Source organism: Homo sapiens, chromosome 14 (genome assembly GCF_000001405.40).
Source record: "Homo sapiens chromosome 14, GRCh38.p14 Primary Assembly".
NCBI classification, from domain to species: Eukaryota; Metazoa; Chordata; class Mammalia; order Primates; family Hominidae; genus Homo; species Homo sapiens.
In genome coordinates this window covers 69542025-69550839 of record NC_000014.9, presented here as the reverse complement: position 1 = coordinate 69550839, position 8815 = coordinate 69542025, and the positions used below count along the sequence as shown (strand labels likewise).

General features: G+C 50.3%; 1 annotated feature.

Annotated features, from left to right (window-relative positions):
* Positions 2972–3528: an enhancer, noted in NCBI's record as "H3K4me1 hESC enhancer chr14:70014029-70014585 (GRCh37/hg19 assembly coordinates)". NCBI's record gives its function as "activates a minimal SCP1, AML or CMV promoter by ChIP-STARR-seq in naive H9 embryonic stem cells {active_cell/tissue: H9 hESC(naive)}" and the evidence as "EXISTENCE:reporter gene assay evidence [ECO:0000049][PMID:30033119]".

Below are 8815 nucleotides of genomic sequence, written 5' to 3'. Positions count from 1 at the left end.
ACTCACACAGAAAGGGAAGTCCCAAGGCATGGCAGAAGAGCCTTCCCCTCACCCCGCACCGTGGTCACCCTCCCCACCATGTAGGCCGAGAACATTATCTCCTCCCCAGGTAGAGGTACTGGGGAGATACCTGAATGACTTACACCTGGCATCATTCTGTTCCTCAAGGATTGAAGACAAGGGTGGTCAGGGCTAGGCAGAGTGGGATTTCAAGGTTCTCTTGAGGCCAGCACTCACTGACCTCTAGTTCCTCATCTTTTTTTTTTTTTTTTTTTTTTTTTTTTTTTGAAACAGAATCTCACTCTATCACCCAGGCTGGATTGCACTGGTGTGATCTCGGCTCACTGCAACCTCCACCTCTGGGTTTAAGCGATTCTCGGGCCTCAGTCTCCCGAGTAGCTGAGATTACAGGCGTGCACCACCACACTCTGGTAATTTTTTTGTGTTTTTAGTACAGATAGGGTTTCACCATATTGGTCAGGCTGATCTCGAACTCCTGACCTCAAATGATCCACCTGCCTCGGCCTCCCAAAGGGCTGGGATTACAGGCATGAGCCACTACACCCAGCCTATTTCCTCATCTTTAAAATGAGAATTGTAAAAGCACCAGCCCTGTTACCTCAAGGGGTGACTGGGGAGTAAGCTAAGGCAGTGGGGGTGACAGTATGTCATGGACAGCAAGGAGCCTCACAGTCACACACCCCAGCTGCACCTGGCTCCTGGGAGGCACACACTGTGTATAAAATGCAGTCCCTGCCTGCAGGCTGCTTAAATGCTAGTCAAAAACAAAACACTCTAGGGACACCCTGAGGAAACAGCACAAGATGGCCGAATACCAATACAACCTGGTATTGGTTCATGCAGATGGTGTGTGCAGTTAGTACGATTGTTCTAGAAGACTCCCACAGCTTTCTCCAATCGGGCGCCTGGCACTCTCTGTGCTTGGTAGGGTCACCAAGACTCCCAGCCCAGTCCTTGACTCTGCAGCTCCAAAAACCCTTTCAGAAACTGCTGTATCCTGGGAAAGGCTTGTGCCAGCCAGCCCCCCAGTCCAGAAAGCCAATGCATTCTTTACAGTGGAAGAGCACCCCTTCATTTGCACAGAGCACACATCTTTCTGGGATGTAAATCCATTCAAGGAACAGAGTAAGAGACCAGAAGTCTTCCTCATAAAAAGAATGAACCTAGAGGGTGCTGGTCCACCTCCCCTGGTGTCATTTTGCTCCAGCACGAGTGCATAGTGATCGCCTCCCACACCCTTCCCACCCAGAGCGTCTTTCTCTCTGGGTCCACTGGGGGTCCTGAGTCCTCATTTGGACCAAACAGTTACTCTCCTGACAGTCTTTTATCTCTCCTTTTTCTGTCCTGCATGAACCAATCTGCCAGGAAAACAAGGAGCAGGTTAGAACGCAGCTTACCTGGTGTGGTTCCTACTTTAGACATTGGCCTCCTTAACAAGACTGACGGTGAGCCGAATCTCCAAGTTCCTCCCCACCTCCCCCCACCCCAGACCCAGGCTTCCAGCCCCAGGGAGCACCATTCCCTTCTGTGATGGGCTGGACTGCGGCCACTGTCCCAAGGACCAACACTGCTCTTCAGGGGAGGCTCCATCCTCCACAGCCAGGGAACTTATAGCAGACAATCTGCTAGGTCCTGGTTCTCAACATTTTTAGCTCACATCCCACCCACAAAAATTCTGTCAAGCTTTACTACCTGTGGTTTGAATGACAAAAACATTGAATAATAATCCTTATTATTATTTATATGAGACAGGGGTTTGCTATGCTGCCCAGGCTGGTGTCGAACTCCAGGGCTCAAGGAATCCTCCCACCTCAGCCTCCCTAGTAGTAGGATTACAGGCACGAGTCACCACACCTGGCTAATTATTATTTTAAATTATATTAGAATGATGGAGGCATTTTCAAACGCTGCTGTACCAGGTCCACATGCTGACACCCCACCCCCACCCACTCCCAGGAGAACATTCCCTTCCACTCCCACCTTGTCGTGAGCCGCTGTTTTGGAGTGATCCCTTCAAATGGACCTTCCTGCTCATGCTAGTGAATCAATTCCGCCAGCATCCGGAGTGCCAGGCTCTGTACTGATGTAGCTCAGCCTGTTTGTGGGTGGAGTGGGGGTGGGAAGAGGCAGTTTCCAAAGAAATCACCGCCACAAAATTCAATAGCTAAAGAGTGAGGATTTTTCTTTGTTATTTATTTTTTAAATTTTCACTATTATTATTGTTTTAGAGGCGGGTCTCGCTCTGTGGCCCAGGCTGGAGTGCAACAGCTCGATCATAGCTCACTGTAGCCTCGAACTCCTGGGCTCCAGTGATCCTCCTACCTCAGCCTCCTGAGTAGCTGGGACTACATTTCATTTTTTGTAGAGATCTCCTTATGTTGCCCAGGCTGGTGGAGCAAGGATTTTTCTAATTCTGCTTTTGAATTCTGTGGATGGCTCTGGAGTGAGGGATGGCACCCCTGTGAGCATAAGAATATCTAGTGAGCTATAGAAGGAAGATAATCTTGGAGCACAGCTGGACCTGCGCAGGGAGCACAGAGAGCGGGGGGCCGGTGCCTGGCGCCCCCTGGCGGGACTGCGCGGTGCGGCGAGGGAGGGGCACGCGGAACCCGCCCGCGGCCCAGGGACCCCAGCCCTCCGCCTCCAGCTCTGCGGTCTGCACGAAGCGCGCATTTACCCCAGCACAAATTCCTGCAGACGACTGACGCTGCGTGCCACCTCACTCACCAGGCAGACGAGAACCTGGAGGCCTGCAACCAATGGTGTCTCTTTCCGGAGGTCCCTGGGGGCGTTCTCGCTGTTGATTATCCCGTGGAGCCCGCAAGGCTTTGTCTGTGCTGCCAGTGAGACAATGAGTGCTGAGCCTCACCGGCGTTGGATGTGAAGGAAGGCGGCCGTGTCTCGCCCACCCTGGCAAGGCCACACGCGTGTCCCAGCGTGGGATGCGGGGCGCGGGGAGCCAGCCTCTGCGAGGAGATGAGGTCCTCGGGCGCAGACAGCAGCAGCCACTGGGTGGGGTTGAGACAAGCCCGGGAACAGGGGTGGGGGAAGCGGCCGAGACAGGATTCCAGGAGAAGGGGCGGCCAGGCAAAGCACCTCCCCTCCCCTCAGGAGTGCATCGGAGTTGAGCGGTAGGGAGGGAAACCTCGCAGGCGTGGATGATCAAAGTCAGATCTTGTAGCTCTAATCTCACATTTTTATGCTTATTTATTTATTTATTTATTTATTATTTTTTGAGACAGAGTCTCGCTCTGTCGCTCAGGCTGGAGTGCAGTGGGGTGATCTCGGCCCACTGCAACCTCCACCCTCCAGGTTTAAGCAATTCTCTGCCTCAGCGTCCGGGGTAGCAGGAATTATAAGGCGCATGCACCACGCCCGGCTGATTTTTTGTATTTTTAGTAGAGACAGGGTTTCACCATCTTGGCCAGGCTGGTCTTGAACTCCTGACCTCGTGATCCACCCACTTCAGCCTCCCAAAGTGCTAAGATTATAGGCGTGAGCCACCACGCCCGGCCTTATGCTTATTTTTTAAAAGGCCACGAATTAGCATTGAGAACCTCTGGGCCACAGCAGGATAGTCTTAGGGCAGAGGCTGGGAAATGTGGCCTTGCAAGGAGGTCAACAATGGGGAGAGCAGAAACTTGTCTCTGGGGACCCACGGTACCTGGTCTATATTATCCATCTCCCTTTTGTCATTCCTTGGGCACCCTGGTTTTGAGCAAATCAGCCTTGTTCTCAATCTCCATGGCAGCTGGTCTTGTTGGGGTGCACCAGGGTTAGACCACTGTCATGGCTCCTCTCTCACTCCCTTGATGATCTCATCTGCTCTCATAGTTTAAATACCATCAGCATGGGATGACTCCCAAATTTCTATCTGCATCCCGGGTCTCTCTCCAAACCAGGCTTATATACCCAGTTACCTACCTGATATATCCACCTGGATGTCTAGCAGACATCTCAAACTCAACATGTCCAAAACTGAAACAGCTGATCTTTTCACCTCTACCCGCTCTACCGGCAGCCTTCCTCATCTCAACTGACGGCAACTCCATTCTTCCCTGCCAGAATCTTAAGAGTCATTTTTCACTCCTCTCTTCCTTTCACACTCCTTGTCCAATTTGTTATGAAATTCTGTGGACATTACCTTCCACATATGTACAGAATCTGACATCTCACTGCCACCATTCTTATCACTATGGTCTCAGCCACCATCATTCCTTATCTGGATTTCTGTAGAAGTTTCCTAGCAGGTCCTTCTGTTTCCTACCTTTACTCCCATGGCCTAGTCTCAATACAGTACTGGGTGGTCATTTAGAACATAAGGCCGATCATGTGGTCCCTCTGGTCAACCTCCCTGCGATGGCTCCCATTTCTCTTGGAGGAAAAGCCGAAGGCCTTACGTGGTCTACAAGGCCCTATAGGACCAAGTCCCATCGCTTCTCTAACCTCACCTCTCACTATTGTCCTCCTTGCTCTGCCCACTGCAGCCACAGTGGACTCTTTGCTGTTCCTCCAACATGCCGGGCACATTCCTGCCCCAAGGTCGTTGCTGTAGCCACACCACTGCCTGGAGTGCTCTTCCCAGATATTCTAATTCTCACCTCCTTTAATTCTATGCTCAAATCTCACCTTCTCAATGAGGCTTGGTATGGACTGAATTGTGTCTGCCCTCCAAATTCCTATGTTGAAGACTGTGAAAAGAAAGCAAATCTCAAGAACCCCCAAATCACGTCAAAGGGAAAAGTCAAGCTGAGAACTGCATCAGGCAAACCTGCCTCCCATTTTATTCCTAAATGATAAGATAGTTACAAAGATAAAAAAGCTACATACCTCCCTCACAATTTCCTCATTAGGAAATTCTGGGGCCCAAGATTTTTACGCTGAAATGGATCTGCTGAATTTTACCCGGACAATGTGAATGGATAACCTATCTTCACAGGCATGGGACAAATGACAGAACTCTAAGTCATCCCTCTGCTCACTTGAGACACATGCATATCTGATTGCTTCCTCTGATGTAAAAATGCAGATTCACTGAGCTAGACATGGCATAGGGACTACTCCTCTACCACCCCTCCGCCCCACCCACCCCCCCACCTCATGTAAATTATGTATTCAGTGAAAGGCTCATCAAAGACTCAAAAGAAGTCTGGGCACGATGGCTCACGCCTATAATCCTAGCACTTCAGGATGCTGAGGTGGGCAGATCACTTGAGGTCAGGAGTTTGAGACCTGCCTGGCCAACATGGTGAAACACTGTCTCTACTAAAAATACAAAAATTAGCCAGACATGGCGGTGGGCACATGTAATCCCAGCTACTCTGGGGGCTGAGGCAGGAGAATCACTTGAACCTGGGAGGCGGAGGTTGCAGTGAGCTGAGATTGCGCCACTGCACTCCAGCCTGGGCGACAAAGTGAGACTCCATCTCAGAAAAAAAAAAAAATACAAAAAATTAGCCGGGTGTGGTGGTGCATGCCTGCAATCCCAGCTACTTGGGGTGCTGAGCCACGAGAATTGCTTGAACCCAGGAGGTGGAGGTTGCAGTGAGCCGAGATCATGCCACAGCGAGATGGCAGCCACCTGCAAGCCAGGAGAAGAGGCGTCAGGATGAAACCTGCCTCGATAGCACCTTGATCTTGGATGTCCAGCCTCCAGAATCATGAGAAATGTTTCCGCTGCTTATGCCACCCAGCCTGGGGTATTTGTTATGGCAGCTCTAGCTGACTAAGACAAGGCTGATCCTGCCACTCTATATGCTATTGCCACCTGTCCCACCCTTCTTCCTAGGGCTCCCAAACTCCCTTCCTTGCTCTACCTTTTCTATTTACCATAGCTCTTAATGCCTTTAGATATATATTATATAATATTTTTTCTTACATACATTGTGTATCGTCCATCTCCCCTGCCAGAACATAAGCTTCATGAGGGCAGGGATTTCTGTTTGGTTCACTAATGTATCCAAGTGCCTGGAACAGTAAGTTTCTGGTGCATAATGGCCATTCATTAAATCTTTGTCAGATGAAGGAATGAATCCTTCTCAAAGAGGCAAAAGGAAGCAAGGAGAGGGGTTTTAATTTATCTTAGAGCTGCTAATCTTTAAAGGGGAAGTCCATCCAGGGGATGGACAGAAGGGCTGAGCAGGCCTGGCTGTGGCCTCAGGCACACAAAGGGCTCAGGAGACTGGAGACAAGGTCACTTGGCTGGCACCATTCTCATCTGAGAGTCACACATTTTATTTAAAGGAGACAAGGTTCTCTGGTGGAAGCAGGAAGACATTCCGAGCACACAATATGCACAAAGACACAGAGGCAGGAAGCTCTCTGGGAATAGAGATTTGCAGGGAGTGTGAGCAGAGGACAGTGACAGCAACACAGAGTCCAGAGAAGGCGAGATGAGGAGGAGGACTGTCAAGCTCAGGTACTGAACTCTATTTGACCAGGAATCTGGAGCCGCTGAAGGATTTAAGCAGGGAAGCAAGCTGATGGGATTCACTTGTTTGAAAGATCACTTGGGCAGCAGCTGAAGGAGAATCTGGCCACAAGGAGACCACTTAGGAGAGGGGGCTACACTTGTCCCAGGTACCTCACGGCAGTGTGCTTTTCCTCATGCCTTGGGAAGAAACGTTAAGCACAGGCACATACATCTTTGTTAACAGGTAACAGGAAAAGCTAGTGCCAGCCTGCCCCCCGAAACCTCAGGGGAGAGAGGGAAACCCAAACTTGACACCACAAGGTACTCCTACTGACCTCCCTACTCAGAGTGAGATGGACCCACATAGTCGGGCTTTTCTTTCTTTGGTTCTTAGCAAGAGAGGGACTCATTGACAGGCAAATATGATTCAAAATACTCCAGCCTCAGCGTTTTCCTTGAGACCTTCCCATCAGGCTGTTGCCATGACAACCATTGCTGACCCAGGCTTGAGGAAGCGGCAGCTGGATCCCAGAAAGGATGTGGTCCTGCTACTGCCGCTGTTCCTCAACATGACTCACCCTGTGATGCAACAGTTCGTCCTGGCAGGTTGCACCTCATACACACCCATACCTCCGCATCTATCCTCAGCATGTATTCTCCCTACCAGCCAGGCTGGGCCTGCCAGTGGCTGTGTTCTTGTCCAGGTGTTTGCAGTGGGAGAGAGCAAAGCCATCATCATACAAAGAACTAGAGGCAAGCAGAGACAGCAGCCATCCCTGTGGCAGCCAGTCCCCAGTTCTAGGCGCTGAGGCCCTGGCTATTATGGCTAATATCGTGATTCAGAGTCCTTCCCAGCTTTGGATGCCACTAGATTGAGGTCAGGAGTTTGAGAACAGCCTGGCTAACATGGCGAAACCCCAGAGTGTCCTATTTCCAAGTGGATTCTTCTCAGTTAGTTCCCATCCACCTCTTTGGCCCCATCTGAAGAAATCGCTTCTCCTCTCTATGCCTTCGTTTTCATAGCTCTGAAATGGAGAGAACACATCATGTTTACGGTGTCTCTTCTCTCTAGGAGCTGTTAGGGGAGCAAGAAGAGACAGCTTAATGTCAGGAATATGTCACGGGACTCAAGGAGTGGCCGAATGGTTCATGGTGAGGAGAGGTGGAGAGGCGGAGAGGGACCAGCCCACAGACCTGTCCTAAGGACGGGGACAAAGCGGCGTGCTGCAGCACAGCTCCTACTTGTGGGCTTCTGGAACTTCAAGTGAAAAATGCATTCAGCCGCCACACCGGGGAGAGGGCAACCACGACCCCCAGCTTTCCTCCCTGTCCTGAGGGTGCTCCACGGGCATTAGATCTCAGCTCCTCAGCTCTGACTTACAGGCCTTATGCTTAATGCCAAACAGACAAGCTCCACTGTGAGTGTACGTGTGCGTGTGTATGCACACATCCAAAGGGGCTTGGAAGAAGGGGGAAAGGCTTTCAAACAAGGGGCTTACAAAGGTCAAATCAGATGCAGTGAGCATGAGCAAGACCGCCATCACTCATTCAAGGATTCGCGCAGCCCCTCCTAAGTGCAGACACTGCTCTCATCGTCACAATGTATGTTTATATAAAGCTTGATGGTTCACAAACGTCTCCCCTACTTCAGCTCTGCATCCTCTCAACAATGTGTGGGGTAATAAGGGCAAGTATTAAACCACGTTTACATTTGAGAAATGTACATTTATAAATGAGGACTCCAATGCTCAGAAATATTAAGTAATTTGCCAAAGTCATAGCTTGTAATTGGTGATGCCCAAACTCATATACAGGGCTTCCAGTGCCTCTGCACCATGGCTGTGTTCTGTATCCTGGAGGCTGTAGCCTTGTATCTAGAGTTACTAGCACGAACTGTACTGAGAAAGCCACCCAGCCACCTCCAGTCTCTCTGAGCAGACAGAGTGGGTGGAATCAGCAGTGCTAAATGATGGGGTTTCTGGGCACTCCTGGAAAATCTCCTCTGCCCAAAAATTTCTCAAGTAGAGAGTTTCATTATTTAGAATAAGCACCACAGGTTCCACTAACTTCATTAGCCCTATGGGTCACCAGGTCTGTTAATAATGTTCACCAGTCATGAACATCTTCCTATTTGGTGGTGTGCCTGATATTCAGGACAGCATCTCAAGAGATTGTGGCAGGACAGGCAAGTTGGGGTTTTTGTCTTCTTTTCTTGGAGAGGCCCTAGGCTGCTGGGACTCTCCTCCGCCTGCACAGTGCTGCTTACAGTATGCAGCACAGACCATCGACTCCTCATCCACAATAATATTCATCAACACCCTTTTTCCTAGACACTCAAACTATACCTCCCAGACTCCCCCTGCAAGCACATGGGGCCATGTG